At 39.5% G+C, this 16,537-nt stretch overlaps 1 protein-coding gene and 1 long non-coding RNA gene across 14 annotated transcripts in view; both read right to left on the bottom strand.

The window, feature by feature from the left end:
- Nucleotides 1-16,537, bottom strand: part of CAST (calpastatin) — an 813,255-nt gene that overhangs the window by 619,714 nt on the left and 177,004 nt on the right. The gene's annotated exons all lie outside the window — the stretch shown is intronic.
- The window catches only part of LOC101929710 (uncharacterized), a 669,085-nt gene that overhangs the window by 476,116 nt on the left and 176,432 nt on the right, over nt 1-16,537 (bottom strand). The window lies entirely within an intron of this gene.

Genomic DNA, 16,537 nt, shown 5'->3' with positions numbered 1-16,537 from the left:
GCTTAAGTGGGGGAAGTGGCTTCCTTCCAAATAGTACAGTATAAAAACTGAAGAGGAAAGAGTACATTCATAGTGGGGAAACCTGACATGGTCATCATTAACAGTGATAACTCCTGTTGCTAGAGTGTCCCCTTACTATATCATGAGAATAGTACTTTACCTCTGTGGTCTTCAACTCTAAAATCCTATAACCCAGTCTATTCCTAAGAAAAACACCAGACAAATCCCAGTTGAGGTGCATTCTACAGGTACTGGAGCAGTACTCCTCAAACAGTCAAGGTCATCAAACACAGGAAAAGTCTGAGAAATCATAATAGCCAATAGGAATCTATGGGGATGCGGCAACTAAATGTAATGGGGTATCCTGGATGGATCCCGGAACAGAAAAGGACATTACGTAAAAATTAAGCAAATTTGATATAGTGTAGACTTTAGTTAATGGATCAGTATGGATTCATTAATTGTGACCAATGTACCATAGTAATATCAGATGTTACCAATAGGGAAAACTACATATAGAACATATGGGAACTCTCTGTACTATCTTAGCAATTTTCCTATAAATGTAAAACAGTTCTAAAATTTTAAGTTATTTTTTAAAAACTGACCTAAATAAGGCTGCTTATGGTCTTTGCATATCACAATATTCATTCATTATGTTTTTTTTTGTTTTTTTTTTGTTGTTGTTTTTTGAGATGGAGTCTCTCTCTGTCACCCAGGCTGGAGTGCAGTGGCGCTATCTTGGCTCACTGCAAGCTCTGCCTCCCAGGTTCACACCATTCTCCTGCCTCAGCCTCTTGAGTAGCTGGGACTACAGGCACCCGCCACCACACCCGGCTAATTTTTCGGTTTTTTTAGTAGAGACGGGGTTTCACCATTTTAGCCAGGATGGTCTCGATCTCCTGACCTTGTGATCCTCCCAAAGTGCTGGGATTACAGGCATGAGCCACCACGCCCGGCCTCATTCATTAAGTTTTGCAGTGGAAATATTAATGTATTGATGACTTCAAATAATAACATATTGAGACCCTGCCTCAAATATTTCAGATATAATGCAATATCTGCCTTACGCATATATTTCGAAACATTTGGATTTCTAAAATCAAAAAACTTGTGAATATTGAACACATTTGGTCCCAAAGACTTCAGGTCAGAGACTATGTACCTGAAATACTATTAGTGCTAGTAATATAATTAATAATGCATTTCAGTTATATGGTGGCTTTAACAGACATTTTCAGTCTAGCCTGAAACTCTAGATTGATAGCAGTGATAAGTATTTGTGTACAATAATCAGTATGTTTATAGAATAATCTAATTGGATCCTTAAAATCTGTAAGATAGAAATTCTTATGCACATTTTCTAAAGGAGGAAAATGAGCTTCAGAATGGTGAAGTCACTTGCAAGGACCTGCCCCTGACATTTTTGGGGCCCAATGCAAGAATAAAAATGGTGGTCCTCCAGCCCGCTGCTCCACTCCCCTTTTCATTCCTCTCGTCAAGCTCCATCCTGCACCAGAAGAGAGGACAGCCCAGCCAGTCTGTCTAGGTCCAGGACAGGGCCTAGTCAAGGAATTCCAGAACCTGAGTGCGTTGGGACAGAGGTCTCAAGTCAGCACGTGTTCATGGCCCTCCAGATGTCTCTCTCTCTCTGTGAGGAGGGCTGTGTCTTTCAGACAGTCAGAGTGAACCAGCCAAGGTGGGAATCTAGGGCAGGGTCCCAGACTCCAGGTCTAAGGACTGCAGGGCTGGTGTTCAAATACAGATTTGCCTGACACAAATGCTTATGCTCTTTCTACTCTAATATGCTGCCAAGGAAAAAAAATACACCCAAGGACCACAATATCAATTTGAAGGCTGATTTTTGAAATGTTTCACACGTTTTATTTGTACTTTTAATTGAGTACCAAAGAGCCTATCTTAAGGTCTGATATTCAGATATGATACTGGCAAAGCCATCTAGTTACAAAGCACCCTAATTCAATTTTTTAAAATTTAAAATGCTTAGATTTCTAAATTCCTCAACTTGATTTTTAAATACATCTTACAGGAACTTTCTGTGTGTCAGGCAGCCTTTTTGGAGATCGGTTCCTCACTAAGTGGTGCAGGTTCTAATGGCGCAAGTTACTGCTTTGCACCAATGGGAAAAAGGAAAGCCCTAACACAGGCTCCTTCCTTCTCTATTTACATTATCTTTTAAATGAAAATAGTTGATTTTTTTACACTGTATTTGGCAGTCTCTTTGTTGAGCATGTGTTACTGGGAAAGCAAATAGATATAATGAAAAGCTAGAGATGTGGAAATCTCTGGTAGTTTAGATTGCACTGATTTTCCTAGTATTCACCAGAAGCACATTTTTCCTCTCTCTTCACCTCCTTGGGTTGGTTCTGCATATGTGATTGTGAGATGTGTCAATGATACCAGTTCAGTCTCCCAGCCGGACAGAGTTCCCTGAAAGCAGGGGCTCTCAGTCAGTCTTCCTCTCCTAGGACCCCTCACAAACTTTGGTGCATTGCCCTCTGCCCAGAGATGCTCCATTCCCTGGTAGAGACTGAAAGCCAGCCGGAAACCCAGAGAAGCCTGGGAAGGTGCCTTACTGAGGTCACTGTCTGCCCAGGATATAAGCTTTAAATGGATGTGTCCACATTCCTGCAGACACTCTCCCTGGGCCTTCACTAGGCCACCAGTTCATCTTTTTGCTCTTTTTATTTCCTGAGCAAATGTATATCAGCAAAGGTGAGTCATTTTTCCAATCAGTGTGTCAATGCAAGGGATTACACCTGCCCCTACTGATGGAGTCATTGACATCTTACCTCGATTACTTTGCATGGCATGCTTCCAACAAGTAGTCTTTTCTATCTCTTACACATAAACAGAGCCCTAGAACGAGTCAAGGGTTTTCCCTCCCTCCCTCCTTCCTCCTGAGACTGTCATGTGAGCTCTGTGTTTCTTCACCCAGAATCCCCTGCACTCCACAAAAGGGAACTAGTGTCATAGGAGAGGCTGCTGGTCATGACAATACTCATCAAAGAAGGATGTTCTCTGGGGTTACTGGGAGCTTAGAACAGAGGGCAAGAGTCTCTTTGCTCTTTATAGCCTTTAGACATTACCTTCTATCCAAGGGGTTTTTTCCAAGATTGATCAATTAAGCCTCAGTTTTCAGTGAAGGAGGCATTTATCCTGTTTATAAGACAGACTTTAACTCAGTGCCCTGCACAAAGAATGAAAATATTCTTGGTTAAAACCACTCAAATGTTTATTGGATGCTGTTCACATAAACCTTATACATACTGTTCCCACTGCCTGGACCCTAGAGGAACTCCCATCCCTAACTCTCCCCAAGAACTTAGCACAGCTGACTCCTGCTCATTCATTACATATGGTTTCTTGAGAGGTAATCCTTGCTGCCCTGTCTAAATAGGTCTCCTCCACTACCACCCTCTGCACTATCCTTTAAGAGCAGTTTTATGATTCTTTTTAATTTGCTTATTAATTTTTTAGAGATGGGGCCTCACTATGTTGCCCAGGCTGGACTTGAACTCCTGGACTCAAGTGATCCTCATGCCTCAACCTCTTGAAAAGCTAGGACTACAGGCACACACTACCTCACCTGGTGTCACGGTTTTATAATTCAACATTTTATTTATTTACTAGCATAATCAAGTTAGGATAGTAAAGAAACTGGAATCAGTATGTGCAGACAGAAAGCAATTGATCCTCTCCTTCCTCTGCCTCTTTGAATCTGCTGTCTTCATATGTTCTTTCCTGTCTCTAGATGAAAAATCTCCACCAGTCCCATAGCTATCACAGTCACTTCCAAGTCTTAAACAAATAGTCTGTTTTCTAGGGTGATTTTAATATCAGAACTCTAAACCTAAGTTAACCAATGATTCCTCCCCTCTCACAGCTCAGATCTGCTTCTGATCCAGGCAAGGAAGCTCATCAGGAAGACAGCCTTGTCAGCTTTCTCCTCACTCCACCTCCTCCCATCTTTGTAGTTGTGGATTGTGGCTCTTCAGGTTTGGGGCAGCAGATGGAGAAGAGGGGAATATAGGTCTGTCTTGTCAGATGTCACTGTAATCTGGGGTTTTTACCTCTGCATCTGGCAGATAACCAAGCTTCCCAGGCCTGCTCTTTATGGGGTTTTCAGAGGCCCTGCCCCCCACAGCTGCTTTGCCAGGCAATAGTCTTTCGGGTTGGTCCCTTAAGAATCTTCCCCACCATCCCACTCTGCCACTCCATTCTAGAGACCTGTCTCTTTCCAGAGTCACCTCACTCCGTAGTTTCTCCCTCTTAAGTTGCTGCCAAGATGACCCAGTCTGCTCCTTCCTCAGAGTCAGTTTTTACCCAGTCAACTATGGAAGGGCTGGCCATTCTCAATACAGCATCTCTTCTCTCCACTGCCCCTGCCTCTGCCTTGAGATGCCTCATATGTCAGTCCCCAAGTCCCCCAGATTCAGGAAACACAGGACAGCGTTCTCTCTGAGTGGTTCCCTGGAAGCCTCCTCCCTACTAGTTTTGAGAGTGGGGGATACACAGCTCCTCCCTGCAGTGAGGGGAACCTTACAGCACAGTGACAACTCTCCTCAAGAAATCCCCTCTACCAACACTGAAACCTCCAAGAACGCTAAGCCTTCTCCTCAACCCTGGAGCCCTGGAGGTAGATGATGGGTTCTGACTGGCAGAACCAGTACCTTTTCCACCAGTCCTGCAGAGGTAGTCTAGCACCTCAGTTTAGAAAGCCAAGGGACTTGACACCTACTGCTTTGTTCTCTGGTGCCTCAGCCAAAACTGAGACAGAGAGATCCTGTTACACTTGTTTGTGGGCAGTCTCCCCCATTAAGCTATAAACTCCAGGAGGTAGGGACCTTGGCTGTTTTATTCACCAATGTATCAGCAGAATGCCCTGCATAAACTCCCAGTGGGTATTTAACAAATATTTTTTGAGATAACAAATATACAATAGGATGAAGATGGTGATGACACAGTCACCATTTTACTAAAGAAGGAAAAAAAAAGATGAGGGAACTTTTATGTTTATCAATAAAATATCTGATCTTGAAATAAGTTACCTTGTTATTCCTTCCCCTGAAAGAAGCTCCTGAAAGACCTAAGTTTAAATCTTAGAGCTAAAGTTTTTGTTTCAAGTCCAAAAATGCCTGAGGCTCAGACAGCGAATGCTTACACAAGAATTAACAGATTGGATGCTAGCTGATGATGCTAATGTCAATTCTTTGTCTAGACATGCAATGCCAGTTCTGCTGACACATTCTCTTAGAGCATTTTTTTGCAGGATGTGAAACTGGCCTCTGGGTCAGTGATATTCAGAAATAAATCTGGACCTCTGCAGAGAAAACCCTTCAAAGTAACCCTAACCCCCATGATTTGCCCTTAATGAGTCTCATCAAGCTCCTTTTTCACAGGGGCAGCCTTGGAAAAATAGGGAGGCACCACTGCATTTCAATGAGGCTGATGCCATGTTCTTCTCACTTGGCAAAAGCATGGGAAGGAAGAAAGAAGCTGAAAAAGCAAATTCCCCCAGACTCATTCCATGACAAACAGACCAAGTGCATAGGGATGGTGATGGATAACAAGAGCTGCTAGAAAAATAGCCTAGCAAATATCCTCCCCATGTGAAAACTTCTTCCATCCATCAATAAGGCACTGTGGGGTAGGAGGAGGTGTTTTAGAGTTCGGCCTCCAGCCCCAGGAGGAATGGGAAGGAGTTATGGAGGGAGTCTTGCCTTACAAGTTTGTGCCTGCAGTGTACACACAGCTTCCTCACAGACAAGTCTCATTCCCCAATTCCCTTCTGTGCTCTTCAGCAGAACTGATGACAGAGAGAAGACTCCATACGCCAAGTCAAAGCCAAGGAAACTGTCTCTTGTAATAATTTCCACTTAAAAATAAATATTTAAGAGAATAGAAATTTTGATTGAATTAAGATTCACCTAAGAAGGATTCTTCCAAACACAAATATAACAGTTTCAAAATTCTGCAATAGAAATTTAGACTTTAGAAAATGTGTCTTCAGATGCCCCACACTTTACAAGTAAAGACACTAGGCTCTTAAGATGCTAAGTGACGTGACCAAGGTCACACAGCTCTTCTCACTGGAGTCTGCTTCTTCCAACTCTAGCCTCTTGCTCTTTCCACTGTTATACAGTCTTCCGTGTATAGTTAGGCATTTCTTCACCTAGCTCAGGTAGGGATCAGATAACTTGATTTAATAGTTTCCAGTTTTTATAACTACACATCATTCTATTGCTCTAGCATATATTAAACCAAAAGAGTGTCCCTGATTCCAGAAATTTAACTTCAGAGTTACACAAGATGTGTTGGCCTAAGCACATAAACTGAAGTTTTATCCTAACGCTGACTCTGACTCACCAGAACGTGTTGGGCTAGGCATGAAATTGTCTCAGTTTCTTCATCTGTTCAGTGGGGAGAGTAATGCTGATCTGTACTTATTCATTTAAAGAAACTGCCTGCCTAGAAACTACCGAATAATTGTGGTGAAAAAGCTTATGAAGATTCTAATTATAAACTAAAGCCATATAATGAAGGCATCAAAACACATAATTCAGACGCTTTCTAATAATCATGACAGACAGTATTTTAGTGTGCCGAACAGACAGGTGACTGCTACCAATCAAGCATATTTCCACAAAAAAAATCATTATCATATTGTTTCAACATATCAGAGGTGTTGATTAAGCCAACAGAATTTGAGAGACAAAATTAAAATGGAAATTTGCCTCAAACCTGCTGAGACTGGGTACATAGCATGTTCCTGAGGTTTTATCTGCCAAACAAATCTTCCCATCAGCAGAAGAAAACTAGGAACTATTTTCTCATGACCAAAGAGTCCCTGTGTGACCAATAGTCCCTCTCACAGTGTCAATTTTGTGAAGTCACCGTAAGAAAAGAATTCCAGACAAAAGATAGGCAATAGCAATAAGTCCGATGATGAAATTGAACCAAACTTCTGTTTTGTTTCTCACTGACAATATTCTGTACCACATTTTCTAATACTGAGCTAACAGTGGGATTCATGTGGATGGATGGGATAAAAATTAATTTCTTTTTTTATTTTCAAAAATGACCATAAGATGGTTTTAAAGTGCTGATAATGTCCTGTTGCTGATCTGCACAGGCTATCTAGACTACGGCAGCATAAGTAATCACTTTGACACTTACCTAAAGAATTGTGTGGTTGGCAAAATGAGAAAGAAAAAGAGGTGGTGGCTTCTTTAATCAGTCTTCAATAGAACAGCTAGAATGATGTAACAAAGCCTTACCAAATTATTTGTTCTTTTGTTTTTTTGGGGTTTTTGTTTTGTTTTGTTTTGTTTTGTTTTGTTTTTGAGACGGAGTCTCGCTCTGTCGCCCAGGCTGGAGTGCAGTGGTGCGATCTCGGCTCACTGCAAGCTCCGCCTCCCAGGTTCACGCCATTCTCCTGCCTCAGCCTCCTGAGTAGCTGGGACTACAGGCGCCCGCCACCAAGACCAGCTAATTTTTGTATTTTTAGTAGAGACGGGGTTTCACCCTGTCAGCCAGGATGGTCTGGATCTCCTGACCTCGTGATCCGCCCGCCTCGGCCTCCCAAAGTGCTGGGATTACAGGCGTGAGCCACCGCGCCCGGCCCCAAATTATTTGTAACAAGGTTAAAAGTAGTTTTTACAACAGATCTTCTTTCGAAACAGTGATGTCATTAGGCATTCTGTTTAATGCCACATAGAAAACTACGAATAAAACCATAAATTATTCACAGATGATAATAAATATTTAAAAAGTAATAATGACAATGTTGGAATAATTATAAGTGTACCTACAATTGAGGGCTCATGAAACTCTTTCCACTTCCAGCTGTGCATAATCACAGAACATGGGGCACTAAAGTTATCTGGTACTGTGGTAGAGACAGGTAGGGCTTGCTGACTATCCATGTGCGCTCCTACATTTCCCAGCTTCCTTTGCACTTAAGATTGAGGTCATATGACTAGTTCTGACCAATGGACTTTGATACAAAGTAACCGTGTCACTTCTTGACTGAGGCAGTTAAGAGCCAGTGTGCTTCATTCTTCACTCTCTTCCCTTTTCTTCCCCTGCCTCAGCAACACTGAGAGCCACATGTTCCAGATGGTATACTGACACAGACAGGGAAGCTGCTGAGTCACAATGAACTTTACATGAGTGAGAAGAAAACTTTGCTGTGTTAAGCTAATGAGATGTCATGGGTTGATGTTGCAGCACTAGGGTTAGTTACCCTGACAAAAAAAAAGGCTGTATGTTAATGTGTTTGCTGTGGCCTAGAACTTAAATTTAAGCTGCTGACACTAGGCTTCTAAAAATAGCATTAGAGGAAAAATAATATTCCTTTTTTTGTCTATTTAAATGTTCTCACTTTTCCTGGTCCTGCACAGTCTAAAGCAGTGGTTCTCAAAGTGTAGTTCCCAAGACCAATAGCATCAGCATCACCTGAAGACTTGTTAGAAACATAAATTCCCAGGCCCTGCCTGAGGCCTGCTGAATCAGAAACTCTGGCAGTGGGTCCTAGCAATCTGCATTTTAACACATCTTCCTGGTAATTCTGGTGGAATTGGTCTAAGGCAACCTTTCCTTGAGTCCACCTGAATGTGATGCTCTTCCTTGAGTCCACCTGAATGTGATTCTCATGCAGCTAATTTCTCCCTTTATATCACATGCGGTCAGCAGACAACTTATGTTCAAATTCCTACTTTTTATGCCCCTCATTTTTTTTCAAACATCAGCTTTTACAGTGATTAATTGCACATAGCCTTGCTATATAGATCAGAGATAACTGCAAATTCTTTGTCATGCCCCCACTGAAAGGTGGAATCTGTTTCTCCACCCCCTTAAATATAAGTTGGGCCTGTAACTGCTTTGGCCATTGGAATGTGGCAGAAGTGAAGCTGTGCCAGTAAGCCTAGACTTTAAGAGGACTGGCAGCTTCCATGCTATGAGGAGGCAAAAGCAGCCTCAAGGAGAATTAAGACCCCCAGCTGACAGCCCCAACTGAGCTACCAGCTGTCAGCTAGCATCAACCATCCACTATGTAAGTATGCCATCTTACATGCCCTGGGCCAGTTGAGCTGAGATTGCTACAGCCCCAGATGACTTTATGTGGAGCAGAAGAACCTCCCAGTTGAACACAGTCAGCCCAGAGATTTAGGAGATATAATAAAATGGCTATTGTTTTAAACCACCAAGTTTGAGGGGAAGAGGAAAGATATAAAGCAATAGAGAATCAAACATTCACTTTTATTGTTTTTGAAAAGTACTATTAAAGTCAAATTTTAATAGGTTCTACTTACCAAAAATTTCTCTCTGGTTCAAACAAACTAACTTAACATGGCTCCTTGCAATGACCTTTTCCTAATATTTCCCTCTCCTTTGGCTTACATTAAAAAAAATGTAAGTTGTTTCTCCAACCTTGGCTCTGGAAGCTTGTAGTAATTTTACTACCTATCCCATGGGTGTCAAATAGACATCTGAGTCTTTGTCTTCTACATCCATAACTGTTAAGGCGAAATACAAAGAAATGGAAGCAAGAAGTTCATAATCTCGTCAGAGAATTTCAATAGAGTTTAGTTAAGGGAGGAGTCAGATTTTTGCAACCTAAATAAAAATTCTCCTTTCCACATTTATCCCTAAATGTAGTAACCAAACAAGATCAAGAACATGATTACCAGAAAGTTTACAGCTGCAAAAGCATTATCCTAGTTCTGAATTTCTTTGGGAAAACACATACTTGCAAAATGAAAGATAAACTAATATTAAGTGATCATAGCTATTAACTGATAGCTGAAGACAGCTTGGGCAGGTTGATGTTCACAAATATGTTACAGCACTTAGGAATCAATTATTTAAAGCTAAGAGTCAAAAGCTAAGTATTCAAAGTATAAGTACATGCCGAGAGGCTACAACTAGCAAAAGAGCAACTTGCAAAGACCTCTAACCCAGAAAAATTATATGGGCAGTAAATTTTAGAGGGTGAGGAGCATACCCGTATCTCTCTATCTCCAGAACCCAGCAAAGTGTTCGGTATATAAAAGTGGCAAACATGGTGAAACCTCGTCTCTACCAAAAATACAAAAAAAAATTAGCTGGGCATGGTGGTGCGCACCTGTAGTCCCAGCTACTCAGGAGGCTGAGGCAGGATAATCGCTTGAACCTGGATTCACTTGAACCCAGAGGTTGTAGTGAGCCGAGATCACGCTGCTGCACTACACCTTGGTGACACAATGAGACTCCGTCTAAAAAAAAAAAAAAATGGTGTCTGGGTATGTGTTTATGAACGAACAAATGAATGACAGTCATAGCAAAGAAAGAAGCAAAAGAGGCCAAAGTGGAAGTAAAGAAGTGATAAAGAAGAATTTCAAATATAAATACCTCCAAGCACAAGCATCACTAAATGTCTTAAAGGTGCTTTCTCAACTAAAAGCAATTGGGATACAAACCTTAGTCATGTAAATAGCAGCGGCTAAACAGGCTCTGCAGCTTTGAGCTTCCCAAAGCAAGTCAGGTCTGGGAAGAGGAAAAACAAGGCTTTCAGCACCTTAAAAAGTGCTAAAGAAAGGGCAGGTCTCAAACTCCGTTTTGGTCAGTCTTTCAATCTTTGAAAGAATGGAGTCAGTAGTCATGTTATAACAAGATGGGTCATCTGGTATTAACAAAGTTAATTCTATATGTACATAGAAGCCTCTGTCTACCTGAAATTTTTAATATATCAAAATTCTTAATGATAACTTTCAAATATTAATGTTTCCACCAAAACGGATGCATTTTCACTTAGGACAATAATCATTGGTGACAGTCATAATTGTTATGTTCTGGCCGTCAAGACACCTAATTATGTTTTACTGCCTCAATTTTTCATTATTTGACTTTACATAAGTATATTAAGTAATTGTTCATTTTCTTGCTATAATTCTCAGAGGCCGTCCTACCAAGTATATGTATAGAAACAAATAGCCCCTCAAGTGTCTGATTGCCTAATTCTCATTATTTAGCAATACTTTCTGAAATAAAAATGAGTACAAAGACACTAATAAATAAAAATTTAAAAATAACATTTCAATAAGTGAAACTCAAATCTTTGTTTTTCACATCATCCAAAAAAAGGCTCTATAAATGCATTAGGTTATATATATTTGCCATGTTTTACAATATACAAAATCAGACTCAAATTTGGACTTGTAAGGGAACTTTTTTTTACAAGCTTGTCCAAATCCTCATTCACAGATGGAAAAATCTGAGGTTTATAGAGTTGAAATAACTTAGCCTCATTAAAGTAAATGTTTACCCAAGCACCATTGTTAATGGTTAGACTCATCCATTCAATAAACATATATCTAGCAGGCAGCTGGGGACCAGGCACTCTACCCGCCCTGGGTCCTGCCCTCAAGGCACTCAGTTTAGGAATCGGCCCACATGAAAATGACAATTCAATTCTGGGTCACAGCTTCTGTAAGAAAAGTTAAGTGGTATCAATAGCAAGAGAGCAAATTCAACTGGGTCAGGGGATTAGATGGGGGAAGATGCTGGAGAAGGCTTCACAGAGGAGATTTAAGCTATAGATTAAAAGTGCATACAGGTGGCACACTATCCCCACCTCAGTGGAGTCTCAGTTAACCCAGCAAGTCCATTTCACAGGTCAGATAAGAAGACTGTGTGAGAGTTCCTGTTTTTACAAGAGAAATCATGCCTGTAATAGAGTCATGTGGGAAGGAAAATTGCATCACTGTTATTACATCCTCTTATAAATATTGTTTATATATACATCCAATTACTTCTTATTATGGTCATTGAATTGTCTTTTACAGCAATTTACTTTTAGTTGTTACAATATCATTATGTTGAAGTCGGAAGAAAGAAAACCGTTCTCCCTTATTGAAACTCAGACATTGTAACGTGGAGTGATTTTCCCAAGAATCTGGTAAGTCAGCAGCACCAGAGTGTCAAACTTCAGGGTCTGTTTCTAATCTACTGAATCATACTGCCTCTTGGAAATGGGCCTCCTTTTGGATGTCTGACTGGATAAGATTAGGTAATAACACAATAACTAGCAAACACCAAGAGCTAATTAGTACATGCCCTGTGAAGGTGTTTCAGATGTGCTTTATTTTGAAAGAGGAATGGGAAGCTGCCAAGCCTCACACAAATCATGTTTATTCCTGTATTTAAGCTGAATTATACACAATTTTTAGTACATTTTTAAGTATTTTCCCACTGCACCTCCACCATACCTCTTCTCATGTGAGTAGATTAAAGACACATTGTTGAAAGTTCACTTGGGGCTGAAGAAGAAGAAAATATATTCAATGACAAGGAAATACAGGAAGTGCCAACCTAGTATAATTTAACATTTATAGGTATCAAAGTCTGATAAGAGCTTCAAATTTCCACACTCTGCCCAGAGAAAAATACTATCTTTTTGCTTAATCTGCCTTTTATGCTGTGCCTGTAAAATACAGAATAAAGTGTTAGTCGATGTAAACAATTAAAAAGTGCACAACTCAAAAATTTTTTTGAGATGGAGTCTTGCTGTGTTGCCCAGGCTGGAGTGCAGTGGCACAATCTCAGCTCACTGCAACCTCTGCCTCCCAGGTTCAAGCAATGCTCTTGCCTCTCAGCCTCCCGAGTAGCTGGGATTACAGGCACACGCCACCATGCTTGACTAATTTTTGTATTTTTTTAGTAGAGACGGGGTTTCACCATGTTGGCCATGCTGTCTCGAACTCCTGACCTTGTGATCTGCCTGCCTCGACCTCCCAGAGTACTGGGATTACAGGTGTGAGCCACTGTGCCTGGCCAATTCAAATTTTAAAAGGAATATGATATAGCCAATTGGAATGTCTACATTGACCAAATTAATGAGATTATTGCTAAATCATTTTCCTTTGTTCTTTCTGGGGATTCTCCTAAGCATGGGCATTTATGGAATGAACTTGTAACCACAGAAGATAACAAACATTTAACTCCTCAAATGGTCAACATTTATGTGTACACTCAAAAAGAAAAAACTTGTAAGCTGGCCTGATGCCAATGTCAAATACTCGGCTACACACCCTCCTAACATTAGCGCATGCCGCCCCTCCACTCTGTCACTATGTGGCTGACACCATGTGCCCATTGGTCGTAGGGTTGTAAGTAAGAGAACAGAGCTCATCCAACACAAACCATCTCCATAAACAACTCAAGTTTATCTTTACAAGCTGTAGGACTTCTCAGAAGAGCACAGAATAAAATCAACAATAGCAGCTTTGAATAGGATTTTCAATAGCAAGACTATACATAGCAATAGAGATATAGACTTTAGTAAGATCAAACCTGTTTAAGAACATTGGTTAGGCAAACTGGGGCATGGTGTGGGTGTCCGCGTTTGCTCCTTCAGGTAGAGCAGTTATACCCCACCCATCTGGGAATAAGTAAAGAGGAATGCAATTCCCTATTCTGCATTTATCAAATTGTTTTTTTCTGGGGGAAAGGATGAACTTTTAGCTGGTGGCCACACAAAAAGCCACTAGTGTGAGGTGTCTATGTTACTTATCATTTGAGTAGAAAACGAATCTAATTGGAGAATGCCAACCATTTCTATGCGATGGAGGTTTAGTGTTGCCAGCTCGCTAACCTTCTCAAGAGAAGCCAGAAATTCAGATGTTTGTTGTAAAGTCTCCTGATTTATTTTAACATCAAAAATCCAAACAAAACAGGTCAATATACTTAATTTGGCCCATTGGCCACCAGTTTAAGATGTATTACATACATAGGAATTATCATTCACTGAATTATGAATGCAGTGAATCATTAATGTATAATGAATATACATTTATCTGAATGTATAATGAATATACATTTATCTGACAAATTCCTACATATTTATGATTATCCCTATATTAGTTTAATTCTATGCATAATTTTCTCGAGTTAACTGGCGGCAATCCCACTATATGTTAACTAAAGAAGATCCAGCTATGAATAAGGTAACATTTCTAACATCAAAAAGACACAGTGTAATGGTGAATAAAAGTCAGGAGGTAAGGAGTGTTACAATAGAGTGAGGAGTGTTACAATAGAGAAATATATTCAGGATGAACAAGGATAAATTGATAGGGGTAATGATGCCAGATGAAGTTGGAAAGACCAGGTAACAAAGGCCTTATGTGTCATGGTGATGAGGATACCAGCAGCTATCACTGCTGAACACAGATAATGCATGAAGTGCTGTGCTTACACTGTAAATACATTACCCAACATAACTCTCGCACCAACCAACTCAGGAAGAGATTATCATTATCTCCATTTTATAAGTAAGAAATTTGAAGATTGGAGAGGTCAAGTAAACTGTCCAAGGCCATAGCTGTGTGTGGCAGAGTCAGAATCTGGGCTCAGAGCATTTATCTAACTCTAAAAACCGTGCTTTCAGCCACCATGAGTTTGCCAAAAGAATTGAGATTTCAGCCTATAAGTAATGAAAGCAAATGAAGAATCTTAGACCTGCATTATTCTATTCTGTTCTCACAAGATTCTGTGATCTAAATAATGAAAAGTATGATAACTTTTATATCTGAAGAAATCAAGAAAGGTTAAGCAATTTAAAGCAAGAGAAACAACGGGTTCCTGGCACCCAAATAGCTCAATCTCCAGCCCAGGAATAATGTTGATTTCACATGGTTGGCAAATATTACTTTCCAAATACTTGATATGCTTTCAACAACCACACTTCTTCAAATTCAGAAGTTCCAAGAGCATATTCCCAATTAAATCCTCTCCCCAGTAGAACCCTAGCTATTTCTAGCCAAGTGGTTCCTAATTTAGGATGTCAATCTAAGAAATACAAAATGACTACTGTGACAAAGAAGAACAGCCATCATCAACTTCTCCACAGCCAACTGTGTGTGCTGAACTACAAACTCCATTTGAATATCAATATGAAATAATGGTACACTAAGACTTTTCTTTTGTGTACTAGTAACCCTTTTTATTCCTTGCAATGGATGTAAAGCATTTAAGCAATCAACTTTCTAGGTTCTAGCCACATTTTATTTATGTCTGATGAGAGTTTGCCCTCCCACCCTCTTAAAGTTTTACTGCAATAAAAATTTAATACCACTTCTATTGTTCAGGTCAAAATTAGTAATTAGAAGGGGAATATTATTTATAACAGTGACATAACATGGTCGGACCTAGAATATGACAAAGATAATTATCTACTTACAGAAGAAAATAGTCGCATAAATGGAGCTATATCCTGGCCACTTTTGTTCCCCAGATATGCCACAAAACTGATTATGTCATCTTAATGCTTTCCAGAATGAAAAAAATACAGCAACTTTCTTCATAAAAAATAAACATAACAGCAACGACTTGTTAAGCACACACACACATATATATACATATACATATATATATGTATATATATACACATATATATATGTGTATATATATATGTTACAAGGACATTGTGAGAAAGCTATACTACCCCAACTTTTTCAGAGGAGAAAACTAAAACTCAGAGAGGTTAAATTTTCCAAGATTAGGTAACTAGTAAGTGGAGATCTAGGAATTGAACCCAGAAAATGCTGACTCCTAGACACTAAGCCCTAAAACACTAGGAAGTCTTAGGCATTGGAGAGAGAAATAAAGGGAGAATGCAAGAGGTAGTGATAAAAGGAGCTTGAAGTTTATATGAGACTTTATATAGGAAGATCTTAGAGAATGGAGATTATTAAACTAAATAAGCATAAAATGTAGATATGGCAAGAAATCAAATAAAATATAAAGAGAAATTATAGAATGGGAATGATATTTGCAAAATAGATGACATACAGCAAACCAGGAATAGAGGAGAACTTCCTGAAAATTATAAAGAACTTCTACAGAAGACCCACAGCTCACTTCATACATATAGGTGAAAATCTGGACACTTTCTCCTTTAAATTAGGTGCAAGGTGAGGATGCCTCCTCTCACCACTCCTTTAAGCATTGTACCAGAAGTCCTAGTTTGTGCAATAAGACAAAAATAGGAAATAAAAAATAAACAAATTATAAATGAGGAAATAAAACTGTATTTACAAATAGCAATGATTGTCCATGTAGAAAATCCCAAAGAAACAACAATAACAACAAAATTCCTGGAACTAATAAGCAAGTCCAATTCTTTTTCTGTATAAAAGCAATGAACAATTGGAATCTGAAGCTTAAAAAATAATACCATTTAAAATAGCACCCAAAAAATAAAATAAAATACTTATGTATATATACAAAATCTATATATCAAAAAATATGAAATTCTGATGAAAGAAATAAAAACCATCTAAATAAATGGAGAAATATTGTGTTTATGAATTAAAACACACATTGTTAAGGTATCAATTCTTCCCAACTTGGCCTGTAACTTTAAAGCAACCCCAACCAGAATCCCAGCAAGGTATTTCGTCTCTATTGAAAAACTGACTCTACAGTGTATATGGTAAGGCAAAAGACCTAGAATTGCCACCACAATAACTAA

The sequence above is a fragment of the Homo sapiens genome, chromosome 5 (genome assembly GCF_000001405.40).
Source record: "Homo sapiens chromosome 5, GRCh38.p14 Primary Assembly".
NCBI classification, from domain to species: domain Eukaryota; kingdom Metazoa; phylum Chordata; class Mammalia; order Primates; family Hominidae; genus Homo; species Homo sapiens.
The sequence above is the reverse complement of the archived record's forward strand: the minus strand, read 5'-3'. Positions and strand labels throughout refer to the sequence as shown.